General features: G+C 37.5%; 1 annotated feature.

Annotated features, from left to right (window-relative positions):
* Positions 13,119–13,620: an enhancer, noted in NCBI's record as "H3K4me1 hESC enhancer chr13:81064487-81064988 (GRCh37/hg19 assembly coordinates)". NCBI's record gives its function as "activates a minimal SCP1, AML or CMV promoter by ChIP-STARR-seq in naive H9 embryonic stem cells {active_cell/tissue: H9 hESC(naive)}" and the evidence as "EXISTENCE:reporter gene assay evidence [ECO:0000049][PMID:30033119]".

Below are 14,722 nucleotides of genomic sequence, written 5' to 3'. Positions count from 1 at the left end.
TTCCATCTTTGTAAGACACAAAGAAAGGTTCTTAAAATGTGTTAATGGCTGGAATAAACCACACAACTTTAGCTTGTGAGGCAGATTGGGCTGGTGCCTCCATCTCAGTTAGATTGCTTTCTTGCCTCATGCAGATTTGGAGGTATTTCTGCTGCCTTGGAAGAGATAAGAAGCAGTGACACCCCCTGGCTCAGTTTCATTCTCCTTACAAGTTCAACAAACTGTGTGTGTAGAAGGCAAAGTTAGCACTGTCTCCTTTCTTTTCTGAAATATGTGGGAAAGAATGGTTGCACCTTATACACTGCCTCTCGTGAAACATAGAAGGAGACTCAAAGGAGTCAACACTTATTTCTAGAACAGGCAAGTTGTGCCTTGGGCCTAGAATACGCTGATGAGAAAAGAAAGAAAAGGGAGACCACATCTATAACACAGTTTCTTGTCACTGCCGCTCCCTGTTCTTACTTGTCTTGCATTTGCCTGTATTTATCACAGTTTTTGTTGAACAGCTTTTTTAAGTATTGGGGGAGCTTATCTTGCCATCTTCCCCTAGTTCTCTGTATCTATCTTTCCCACTGAATTTCCTTCATGTTCTAGGACTTTAAGAGAAGGGAAGAGGGGTCTTGGATTTTGTTTGTTCTCCTTAGCAGCAGAAGTTGTTATTTTTATTTTAGAAAAAGTAAAAGGTAAATAAACAAAAAGAAAGTCTAAAGAAAGCTCTGTGTTCTGCAAAATTATCTCTACAATAACAGCTATGATTTAATGAATATCTACCTTATGCAAGATGCTCTACACTCGTGATTCCGTAAACCTTACAACAATCTTACAAATGGGTAATATTAACTGTTTCATATGTAATGAAATCAAGGTTGCAAAAAATGGAATAATCTGCTTTATTAGTCAAGACTTCCCAGAGAAAAGGAACCAATGGGATATACAGAGAGAGAGAGATTATAGGAAATCTGTTCATATAATTATGTAATTATGGAAGTTGGAAGTGTTATGTTGGAAGTCGTGATTATGTGTTTATGGAAGGATTACAAGTCCCAAGATCTGCAGTTGACATGCTGGAGACCCAGAAGAGCTGATGGTGTACTTCTCATCTGAGTTAGAAGGTCTGAGAACCAGGAAACCCAACGGTATACTTCCAGTCCAAAGTCTAGCAGGCTGAAGATGTTAGAATAACCAATGTTTCCATTTAAATCTACAGGCAGGAAAAACTTGATGTGCCAACTCTACATCAATCAATCAGAAGAAAACCCCTCTTAATTAGGGAGGGTCAGCCTTTTTGTTCTATTCAAACCTTCAGATAAGGCCCACTCACACTATGGAAGACAAGCTGCTTTACTAAATCTGCCAATTTAAATGTTAAGCTCATCTCAAAACACCTTCACAGAAACCCCAGAATAATGTGTGAGCTAATATCTGGACACCACAAGGCCAAGTCAAGTTGTCACATAAATTAACTATCACACTTGCTTAAAGCTATCTAATTTATGAGTGCCAGAGAAGAGATTTCAACCCAGGTCTGTCCTCAAATGCCCATGGTTACTCCTCTCTGCCACAAACATGGGGCCACAAGACTTGCCTAGAATGTATGATTTTACTTGAAGCTTGTGCCAAGATCGCAGAAAAATTCACTGATAATTGATTTTATATATATATTATATATTACATACATGTATCCTACATACCTACACATATATAGGTACACAAACAATTTCAAAATATTAGGTAGATAGGTAAACCCATTTAATTTTTGTTATTGAACCAAATTAGGTATGCTGGAGCTGGAGCACTGCAGAAAGGAAGAAAGTACTTGCCACTGAAGATACTGTGGAAATAGGGAGAAGAAAGCCACCTGGATTTCTTTTTTCAGTAATGTAGAAGTTTATTCAATGATGACCAAGCCCACAACGTCAAATACATCACTTGTCAATTTGATTATATTCAAATATAGAACAAAAATTAGTTCAAAGAAGGTTTCTCCCCTGTACTTGCAAAAGTATCTTTTTGCAATAACTCAAGAGGGAGAATTAGATTTGTGTTGCTGTTGTTAAAATGAGGAATTCAGTCCCTAAAATAGGGAAGATCAGTAATTGTATTCTATCCAGACAGTTTAATGATGTTTTAGGAATCAAACATCAGGAATATATTAAGGAATTATAGCTGACTAAAATTATAAATTGATTCTGTTTTGTTCCCATGGTTTCATGTGACATCATGATCCTTTTTTTTTTTTTTCACAACTTTTATTTTAGGTTGGGCGTACATGTGCTGGTTTGTTACAAGAGTAAACTGCATGTTGCAGGGTTCTGGTGTACAAATGATTTTGTCACCCAGGTTGTGAGCATAGTACCCAGTATTTTTTCAATCCTCACGCTCTCCTCTCACCCTCCGCCCTCAAGTAGGTCCTGGTGTCAGTTGTTCCCCTCTTTGTGTCCATGTGTACTCAATGACATTATGTGCTTACAAAAGTGGAAGCATATTGCCCAAAATGTGCAGGATATGTCTGCATATGTAGAAATTATAATTCCTTGTTAAGGAAAGATAGTTACACATAAGTGCTATTCCTAGAACCCACTACTATACCCATATGCTCTTTTATCAGTGCAGTTTTATTAACCAAGTATGTACTATTTTTAAACTTGTCTGAGACATAATGAACAAAGCAGAGGTCTTCTAATTCCATCTGAGTCCAAAGATAACCCTTCAAAATTTCTTTGGCATAAGATGATTCCAGGGGAAAAAGAGAATATTCTGATCACTGAAAGAATAAAAGTCCATCAAATTGAGAGCAATTTGATTCCTAAGATGATTGAGTGTCTGAACATTTATCATCAGTTGTGGTATGCTATTTATTAAAGAAAGAATCTTGGAGGGTTTGCACATCATCATGCTAACTTGGAAAAATTTACTAAGTCAAACGCTTGACCCAATGCAGTTGGGCTTCTTTCATCTTCTTTCGTCTTCTTCAGTATCGTGTGGGAAATAATACTTAAAATGGGAAGACCTGAAGACAAAATTTTATATCTTATTAAATATAAGCCTCCCTATTAAATATGGAGCCTACTGTTATGAACTGACATAAAGGTAAAATAAAGTTAGGGCTCAAGATCTCACAGCTCACCCTTTCATAGAATGGGAACCTACAGTGTGGATGAGACAACCTTGGACTAAAAGTTGGATCTGGATTCTAATGTCTGGACCTGGCTCTGGCATTATCTGTGACATTATCCAGGCCATTGTCCTCCGGTTTCTTTACAAATAATACCTAATTGATAAGTTACTTATAATTTAAAGTGCATACTATGATGACTCCATAGAAAATTACCAAGGAAGAGAATGGGCAAGAAAATCCCTGTAGTAATGACAGAACAAAACTGGGCACAAGTAAGCAAATTAGAATAAAATGTTGGTACTAAAGTTATGGATATAAGGAAGGTAAGAGGAATGAAATACGGAATGGAGTTTAAGGGAGAAAAACCCAGGGCATCTAAATTATTATAATTTAGATGGGAAAGAAGGAAGAATTAGAAACTCCTGAGAGGAGAAAAAATAATATATAAAAGGGGAAAGAGGAAAATGCAGTAATAAAAAAATCAAGAAAAAGAAAAATTTCCACTGGATGCTATCTGGTATCCACTGACTCCTCCAAAAGGCCTGGACAAGAAAAATCCTTCGAAAGACAATAATCAAAGTATTCTATTCTTTGACATGTTAGAGCATCTTTACTTCTTTCTCTCATTTGATATTGAAAAACAGATTACAGAACCTTAAAAAAACTGTAGATTTATAAAAAAGGAAAGATGCAAAGAAGTCAGCGACTGCCCATATAGGGACTAGGTTATGAAACTTTGACTGAAAAGACACTGGAAATATTTCCAAGACACATTTTTTCAATCACTCAAATGTCAGGGTTGTATGATGTAAGCTTTGGAAATAGCATACTGATTTATTTTCAAAGATTTATTTGGGGAAAAGAATCAGAAATGCAAGCTGCAATTTGTAATAACACTGTTAAATAAGTTAAAAATAAATATTGTGTAGATATTAGAAATAAAATATCTGGCAGAGACAACAGCTTTTTGTGTTGAAAATGTACTACAGTATTAGAGTTCACCCAATAGCTTAATGAGTTGATATGAAGTCAACACAAAACAATACCTAAACTAAGGAAGAGCTCAATAATGGGATGGCTAAAATAAGCCGTCCGCAGATGTGTGCTTGATCCTTTAACCACACAATTCTATTAAGAAAATAGATGAGTCAGTGAAAGGAATAGCAACTAGCAAGATCAGTTGAATACATAGCTGGTTGATGGACTTCTTTTCCAGGTTGTCTTCTTTGCTATAAAGATTTCTTTACTTGGAATCAAAAGAGATTGAAGATGGCGTTTCTGGGAAGAGGACCTTTTGGAATTTATAATTATATTAGTTGCTGGTAATGGTTTATAATTATCACCCTGGTCAGAAATGCCTTGTGCCCTCCATTGTATCAGTAAAAATGACCAATAACAATAATCTTCTAAAATGTTTATGGGAGTTTTGTTGAGTGATTTGGTTTAAAATGGGAAGAAGTATGCATTACCATGCTTTAATGCTCTGATTTAGATAAAGATCCTGCAAAAAGATAGAAATAATCCATTTGAAAAGGATGTAATATTCAGGCATGTTAACAACACAAAATGTAAAGAAATAGTTATGGAAAACTTGTAGGTAGAAATCTCCAAAACTGGGTAAATAAAAAAGAATTTAAAGTCTCTTATAAAGGCAGTTCCCTTCTTAGGGACTCATTTTATGCAAAAGTATCCAAGGGCGCTTTAGAGTAAACGTGGATATATATCCCAACTTCACCACTTTCTAGACTTTTGAAGGTTTATAGAGACCTGCTAAATTCTCTAAAAGCTCAATTTCCACATTTATGAAGTAAGAATAAGATTTTTATAGTGATATTTTGAAGATTAAGTGTTACATTTATCACACTGCAGTATAATTATGTGTCCTTGTGGGCTTTTTCATTCTTTCCTTCCATCAACAAACATTTCTTGAGAGTCTGTTTAAGTGAAAATTAGCTTTACCTCTCTCACTAGTCATGTGGCTTGGGTGAGTTATGTAACTTCTATGTCAATTTCATCTTCTGTAAATGTGGAATACAAATAGCACACATCTCTTGGGGTGCTGTAAGGTTAAAAAAGTTAATACAAGTAATATGTAACATATTAAGAAAAATAATACTTGGTATAAATTAGAAAATCAGTATACATTAGCTAGATTATTGTTGATGTTTTTCTCCTACTGCTCTTCTCCTCCTGTTTCTTTCTATCATCATCATCATCATCATCATCATCATCATCGTCATGTGTCAGGTATTCTACCAGACGTTATCCAATCAGAAGGTGATATTTTTCTGTTCAAACTATTATAATTATTGTAAACATGCTTACTGGATGCTATTAATAGTTTCCATGATTAGTCAGGACCTTTGGTTTGCAAGCGAAAGAAAGTCAGTTCAAACCATCTTCATTCAAAAAGAAAGATTTCTTTGGCAGTTGCAACCAAATAATAAAGAAGTGAGACTGATCTCAAAATATTGTGGATTCACAGACTCAAAGTTTTTCAGGACATTCCTTACTACCACTTTCATCTCTGCTTCATGTAGAGCATAGGTGCCATTATTTTCTCCTGCAGACAGCTTTCTCTGTGAGGCAGAAATCATGTATTGACAGTTCTGAGACTGAATCCTATGAGATCCAACCAAGATAACAAGGTATCTTACCATCCAGCTGCTTCTGGAAAAGCATATGGAAAAGACATTAATTGATGTCCTGTGTCACATATCCATCCTTGAGCCAATTACTGCAGCTGGGAGAGAACACATGCTAGTGGGACAGAGTATATGATAACAAAACTAAAGAGAAATGGAAAGCAGGGCCGATCCCTGGATATATCCAGCGCCTCGTTAATTTGGGTCACTGACAATTCTCTTCCCTATCCCTTCATTTGACTTTATGTCTTTAGTGGCAAGCACTGCTTGACATATAAAAAGGCACTCAATAAACATTTTTTGAAAAATGAATCTCTCAAGTGTAACAGCATTACAAGAATACAAAGAATAACACAATTTTTAATTTTTCTTTTTAACAAGCTTCTTTAAAAAGATCAACATATTTTCATGATGCTCAACTTTAAATTTTATTTAATAAATGTCATACTACTCATGTCCATCATGATAGCACACTCATAAATCTCAGGTTGTCTCTGGTTATTATCTATCACCATTGTAAATCTAAAAATTGTACCTGCTTATCTCCTCTGGACTGAGAATAACCAGCAATCAATTCTCATGTCCTTAGGCGAGTCTGGCCTGGATTATCTTAGTTTAGAATCACCTGGACAGACTTGGAGCCACATGGAAGCTTGGGAATAAAATATTCAGACCTTGGAGTTAAAGGCTTGGTGGTAGATTTATTGCATGAATGATCCCAGTTTAGAACTTTTTTGCAAGCTCTCCAAGCAAGAGAAAAGTAATCATTCCATGAATATGGACTAGTTTTTTGACTTGTTGTAGTAAGTTAAATATTTTAGAAGTCAATACTGTGCTAGTTTCTGAGCCTAGATTTCAAGAGGCCATGTGTATCTTCCTGTGCTCACGCTCCCTTCTCTACATTCACTGTGAGAACATGTCCAGTCTATTAGGCTAGAGGATAAGAGATTTGTGGCAGCTCTGTGGCCTAATCACTCCTGCTGATACCCAGACATGTGAGCAAGCCCAGTCATAATACAGAGAACTGCCCAGCTGAGGCAATACTAACCATTGATCTGCAGTCTTGGAAGCTAAGTAAATACTTTTTATTTTTATACTGCCTTATAGCGGCCATAGAAAGCTGATAAAGGGTTTCATTTAGGCCCTACTTAGATTATACCTGTATCAGTTTAGCTATCTCATCATTGATCACACTATAGCCAGTTAAGTTTTTATCCTTGCGAAGCTGCCTAAAATATCTGCCACAAGTATCGTGTGTTCTCCAGCTGGTCCTTCTGGTCCATTTGAGAATATGATGCTAAATATTGAAGCAAATGCTTTGCCACGAGCAGCCTTGTGTGCTCAGTGACTTGGCAGGCCCCTAACAAGCATTAAGCATGGAATGTCAAAGAATTCTTAGAAACTTGTCAACTTGACCAAACATGGGCAAAATCAAATTCATAACAACCAGAAACTAACAAAATAAGACCATGTGTAATTTTTAATAGTTGCATAAATCATCCCAGGCCTTGACTAAGAGCTGTATTTTTGAATAGATAATAATGGAAACTCTTTTACTTCAACATCTCACTGACCATTTTATGTTTCCAGATAGCACTGATATTTTTAAAATGAATGTTTCAAAATACATTTGGTCAAGAAGTCTCAGAACTCATACATAATTCTTTGTCTGCTTATCTATCATATCCAAGAAAAACACGTTTAAAACAAGATGCCAGGTTTTCTAATGAAAAGCAAGGTGAATCTTTAAGGTTCAAGGCTATATTTAGAATAAATAACAGAGTTCCCAAGATTACTCTCTGAAAGTGACTTTTAAACCCAGGGTACTAGAAAGAGAATATTGGCAGCCCTTCTCATATAAAGATGAATAAATGAAAAAGACAATCTGGCAATACAACGAAAACTTCTCTTCATCATTCTGGCAATTCTTCAAGATCTTCATTTCAGGGAGCAGATATCTGATTAGTTTAATCCTGAAATCACTCAACTGGTTATCCCATGATACATTTGCTACAAGAAGAGCTGTCCAGCAAGTTAATTTCAGGAAAGAGGTGCTTGGCCAGATCCAGATGAAACTGAGGTAGTATGATTAGGATCAGAATAATCCTTTATATTTCATTCCCCAACATGAACGTTTCTTTTTATGTCTTTACCCACATGCAATTAGCAGAAGAATTAGTTGATACCAATAGGCTGTAACCACCTAACCCTCTTTGCCCCATGCCTTCTCTTTCATACCATCTAATCTTATTCTTTAGGAAAAGTTTTTCTAGAAAGAATTCACACTAAGGTGCAAGTAACAGATATGCCTGAATTGATTACCTTCTCAAATGCATTTGTATTTTCATTTCAAACTAAAGGAATCTTTGATTTTGGCATTTCAGATAGCCATGAATCATCTTGGTAGAGATAATTCACACATTTGTCAATTAGACAATTCATATATTACGTTCACCTCTTTATACAACTGGCCTTGGAAGACTATATTAGAATGATAGGCCTCTGGCTGGGGTGGAAGTTCCACGGAAAGATGCCCCATGACAACTGATGGACACATGTCAGGAAACTGAGAGACACTGTCATTCTTTATTATCTCATCTTTGTATTTTTCTTCCATGTTATCTGTTTCTTCCAAAACTTGATCCATAAACTTTTACTCTTATGCCTCAAATTAGTCTGAATATGTGAGGTCTTTCATCTTTGACCTCAAAAAACATTTCAAGTTTCTGGCCTCATTGCCAACTATTTCCTTATATGATGCCTCTGTTTCCACAGACTTATTTGCTCCTAAGGTCATAAGTAACCCCAGAACTTTTTGTTACACATGCCCAGAATACTCAGTAGTTAGAGATCTTCCACCCTATAGAGTCAAATCTTTACTCTGTTTCTAAACGCCTCAGATTTTACCTCTTTATTTAAATTAATGGCAACTAAAATCATAGTACTTTAATGTCTATTTCACATTTACATTGATATTTAAAAATTGAAGTTTCCAATCTATGTATATTTTTACACAAAAAGTGTTAAAATTCAGCCATAATAGATGCCTGTTTCCCTATTCTAGCTGAAGAAAGCACATTCAGAATCAAATACTTAGACCGCCCAGTAAAAAGCACACCATTCCAGACCAATCTTGTCTGAAGTGGTCTGTCTCTCTAAATTCCTATACCAATTATTCTGTACACTTAATTTGAATTACAGTGAAATCTTTTGATATCTTTCCATACTCTCTTAAACAACTAACTGTTGTTTAGCTGCATATATACATTTTCCTATACATAACCAAGGGAGTGTTTATGTATTCTCTCTTTAAAGAGAAATTTACTTCTTTCCTTTTTGTTTATAATGTATGTACAAGTTGGAAAGTTGTTAAAGAATATAATAATTATAACTCATTATGGCTCTATTGATATGAAAATAAATATTTTTCCTAAATTTATTTTTATGTCTACCATAGTTGGTTTAGTGTTGCTATAAAGGAATATCTGAGGCTGGGTAGTTTATAAAGATAAGAGGTTTATTGGGTTCACAATTCTGCAGAATGTACAAGATGCATGGCACCAGCATTTGCTTCTGATGAGGGTGTTGGGCTATTTCCACTCATGGTAGAAGGTACAGAGGAGCCAATGTGTGCAGAGATCACATGATGAGATAGGAAGCAAGAGAGAGGGGAGGGAGGTTCCAGGCTCTTTTTAACAACCAGCCGTAGTTAAAATTAATAGTGTGAGTACACCCTCATTCTCATGAGGACAGTACCAAGCCATTCATGAAAGTTCCAACCTCATGACCAACACATCTCCCATGAGGCATCCACCTCCAACACTGGGGAAAAAAATTCAATGTGAGGTTTTTGGAGGACAAACATCCAACTATAGTAATGCCTTTCTCATTAAGTGTTTTTTTAAAATTTTCCTTCAATTTAATTTTTTTAACATTGGTGAATGTTAATAACAAATCATTTTAAACTATGTAAATTATTTTTGAAGTTTAATTTCTTTGAGCTCTTGGTGTTGGTTAAATTAAAATGTAGCTTAGAAAATGGTTTGACACGTATTTTCAACAACTAAAGAGCTTGCAGTTTTCCTCCAATTTAGAATGGGCAAAACAGATTTTGCAAGGAAATATGCTAGTCTAAATCTTATCATCAGTAATAAGAAACATTAAAATTATGCATCACTTTTGAAAAACTACAATTTTGACGGAGAAAGCTAAAGAAAAATGATGACATTAATAAATGGACTTCATGTTCAGTGATAATATCAAATTAATCAAAATTAAAACCAATTTGAATGTAATTAAGCATAAAATGGTCACAAGATTTCAAGTCAATATCATTGTTCTCCCCTTCTGATAATACAAGCTATAACTTAATATCTCTAAATTTAGATCACTTTTACTTCTAATTAGTCTCATATTACTGTTAACAGTATTTTCCACACTGTGAAGTTTTTTGAAACTCTTAGAGAAAATAAGAACTGTATCTAGTGAGGAAAAAATTAATGTAATTATGGAATCTCTATTAATTCAAAACTAAGCTTTGAATTCCATTTGAGGTTTATATTTTCCCAAATTAACTTTCCAGAAATATATTTTAGAATAGGCCTTAAAACAGTTGATTCTCAGCCAGGCGCAGTGGCTCACGCCTATAATCCCAGCACTTTGGGAGGCTGAAGCAGGCAGATTACCTGAGGTTAGGAGTTCAAGACCACCCTGGTCAACATGGTGAAACCCCGTCTCTACTAAAACTACAAAAATTAACCAGGTGTGGTGGGTGCCTATAATCCCAGCTACTTGGGAGGCTGAGGCAGGAGAATTACTTGAACCCGGGAGACCAAGGTTGCAGTGAGCTAAGATGGCATCACTACACTCCAGCCTGGGTGACCAAACAAGACTCCATCTAAAGAAAAAAAAAATTGATCCTCATATTTCAAAATAAGAAAGCAACAGTGACAAATCTACTGTACTTTTCTTGGAGAAGCAAAATAATTAATAAAATTATACTTTCTTTGTCTATATAATAAAATGATACACGAAATTATCCAAAACATAATGGATAACCCACCATATTAAATCTTAATTTCAATAAGTAGAATTCTAATATAGTTTATTTTAAAATATAATTTTTCTTCCTTTTTAGTGATATATTAATCTAACTTTCAGAAATCAAAATGAATCTTGATTTTGAGTTCTGTTAAAGTTGGGAAAGTGGGGAATTCAGTGTGGGTTGAACTTACTAATTCATTTCCAAAGAATAGAGTATAATCAAAGAAAAAGTAGTCACTTTACAGTGGGGATACCTGGCAGACACCTTAACCTTAATTAAGTGATCAAGATTAACACCACCAGTGATGTCATCTTCATATCATATGCCCCTAAATATCATGTGATAAGGGCATCTTATCACAGTGATATTCTCACACACACACAAAAAACCACAACCCAGTCTAACCATGAGAAATACACCAGACAAAACAAATAGAGGAGAATTCTACAAAACACCTGACAAGTACCCCTCCAAACTTTCAAGGCCATGAAAAACAAGGAAAGATTGGGAAATTGTTACTGGCCAGGAAAAACTGAACGATAATTAAACATAATATGGTATACTGAATTAGATCCTACAGCAGAAAAATAGCATTAATATAAAAACTGGTGAAGTATAAATTAAGTCAAGTTTAATTAATGAGAATGGTTTAATATTGCTTTTCAAGTTTTAATAAATATGGTAAATGAAGGATGTTAACATTAGGGAAGACTGCATAAGAAATATGTAGACAACCTGTGTGTTAACTTTGTAGTTCTTTTCTGTAAATCTAAAATTATTTCAAAATAAAATGGTTATTAAAGGAAGGATGTAAAGAGAGAGGGGTATAAACAGAGACACTTCAAAAAGAAATTACTCATGATCCAACAATGCCACTTCTGGGTATTTACCCCCAGAGATTTGAAATCAGTTTACTGAAGGGATGTCTGCACTCCCATGTCATTGCAGCCCTATTTACAATAGCCAAATTATGGAATCAAACTAAGGGCCCAGCAACAGGTAAACGGATAAAGAAAATGTGGAATATGTAAACAATGGAATACCATCCAGACTTTGAAAAGAAAGAAACTGTCATTTGTGACGACATGGATGGAACTGGAAAAACATTAGGGTAAGCAAAATAAGCCAGGCACATAAAGACAAATACCACATATTCTTACTTGTATGTGGAATCTAAAACAATCAAACTCCTAAAAGCAGAGAGTAGAATGGTGGTGGTTACAAAGGTTGAGGGGTAGGGAAAAAGGGGAGATGATGATGGAAGGGTACAAAATTTCGGACAGGAGGGATTTTTTGTTTTTTAGTTTCATTGCACAGAGCGGTGAAAATAGTTAATAATAGAGTACTATAAATTCCACAATTGCTAAGAGTAAATTTTACATGTTCTCACTACAAAAAATCTTAACTCTTTGAGGTGATGGGTACAGTAACTAACTTGATATAACTATTCCACATTGTATTCATAAATCATAACATCATTTTGTACACCATATATTTCTATAATTATAAATTGTCAATTTACAATTTTTAAAAAATCGTTATGTGTTTAGCCAATTGGAATAGACATAGGCAATTAAATATTATATGTGAAAAATGATCCTCAAATAAAATTATATAAGTAAAGCTAAAAATGGAGATAATTTTCTTTTAATTCTCCTTAGTACCCAGCAGGGGAGCTTTGTACAAGTCCTAGCTACTATCAATAAGCTCCTGATTTTGTGAAATTTGGACAAGATCCGTCTTTGGACACAGAGGAGCTTTATCAGTACTTCTCAATCCATTAACTAACAAACTTTAAACTGTCTCTTCAGGCTCTCTTTCTAGTGGCTGAGGCTCCCAGCGTTTCAGTGATTGTTTCTGTCACTTCTATGGGACTAGCCAGCAAATGGCCAGTCTGCCCATCTCTTATCCCTCCTACCATCCAGAGGTCTTTTCCAGATTTCAGGGCTTCTCAATTTCTGGGGGTATAATCAGATGTTCTGCACCCTTGTCGCCTGCTGGAGCTTCAGATTGCAGTCTTCCCTACCTGGTGTCCCAGTGAGAGGTGACAGCGTGCTGGCAGTCCTCACAGCCCTCGCTCGCTCTCGGGGCCTCCTCTGCCTGGGCTCCCACTTTGGCGGCACTTGAGGAGCCCTTCAGCCCACGGCTGCACTGTGGGAGCCCCTTTCTGGGCTGGCCAAGGCCGGAGCCCGCTCCCCCAGCTTGCAGGGAGGTGTGGAGGGAGAGGCGCGAGCAGGAACCCGGGCTGCGCGCGGCGCTTGCGGGCCAGCTGGAGTTCCGGTGGGCGTGGGCTTGGCAGGCCCTGCACTGGGAGCAGCCGGCGGGCCCTGCCGACCCCGGGCAATGACGGGCTTAGCACCCAGGCCAGCGGCTGCGGAGGGTGTAGTGGGTCCCCCAGCAGTGCCAGCCCACCAGCGCTGCGCTCGATTTCTCACCGGGCCTTAACTGCCTTCCCCTGGGGCAGGGCTCAGGACCTGCAGCCCGCCATGCTTGCGCCTCCCACCCCCTCCGTGGGCTCCTGTGCGGCCGGCCCGGAGCCTCCCCGATGAGCGCCGCCCCCTGCTCCATGGCACCCAGTCCCATCGACCACCCAAGGGCTGAGGAGCGCGGGCACACGGCAGGGGACTGGCAGACAGCTCCACCTGCAGCCCCAGTGCGGGATCCACCGGGTGAAGCCAACTGGGCTCCTGAGTCTGGTGGGGAGGTGGAGAACCTTTATGTCTAGCCCAGGGATTGTAAATACACCACTGGCACTCTGTATCTAGCTCGAGGTTTGTAAACACACCAATCAGCACCCTGTATCTAGCTCAGGGTTTGTGAATGCACCAATTGACACTCTGTATCTAGCTAATCTGGTGGGGAAGGGGAGAACCTTTGTGTCTAGCTCAGGGATTGTAAACGCACCAATCAGCGCCCTGTCAAAACAGACCACTGGGCTCTACCAATCAGCAGGATGTGGGTGGGGCCAGATAAGAGAATAAAGGCAGGCTGCCCGAGCCAGCAGTGGCAACCAGCTCCCGTCCCCTTCCACACTGTGGAAGCTTTGTTCTTTCACTCTTTGCAATAAATCTTGCTGCTACTCACTCTTTGGGTCCACACTGCCTTTATGAGTTGTAACACTCACTGTGAAGGTCTGCAGCTTCACTCCTGAAGCCAGTGAGATCACGAGCCCACCGGGAGGAACTAACAACTCCAGATGCGCCACCTTAAGAGCTGTAACACTCACCGTGAAGGTCTGTAGTTTCACTCCTGAGCCAACGAGACCACGAACCCACCAGAAGGAAGAAACTCCGAACAAATCTGAACATCAGAAGGAGCAAACTCCGGACACGCTGCCTTTAAGAACTGTAACACTCACGGCGAGCGTCCGCGGCTTCATTCTTGAAGTCAGTGAGACCAAGAACCCACCAATTCCAGACACACCAGGACATGGCTTGATGTGCATCTGATGTTCAGATTTCACACTGTATGTCTGTGATCTTTCTGACTGTCTGGTCTGATCAGGACACTGTTTAACTTGTTACTTTTAAGTTAATTCTTAGGATTGCTGATTTCATTCCTGGGCCTGCCATAATACTCATGCTATTTTCGTTCTGCAATAGTAATCTAGCATCCTAGCTCAGTTAGGTTTCCATTACTTCCAACCTACTCAAGAAGAAATTTATGTTAATTCCTTTTTGTGATCAAATGATGTCACCTTACATACAGTAGATAGCCAACACATATTTATTGAATAAATTAGTGGAGATTTCAGAAATAGATTTCTTACAGGTAAACATATTTTGATCAGAGTTCTTTGTTGCAAATGATAGAATGCACTGTAGTTAATTTAAGCAAGAAAAGAATTTAGGAAAGAATATTAGATAGCTCAAGAAATTTTGGTATAAGTGGAAAAAGAGTATTAAGGTTAAATTT

Source organism: Homo sapiens, chromosome 13, assembly GCF_000001405.40.
Source record: "Homo sapiens chromosome 13, GRCh38.p14 Primary Assembly".
Classification (NCBI taxonomy): Eukaryota; Metazoa; Chordata; class Mammalia; order Primates; family Hominidae; genus Homo; species Homo sapiens.
This window is presented reverse-complemented; position numbering and strand designations above follow the sequence as displayed.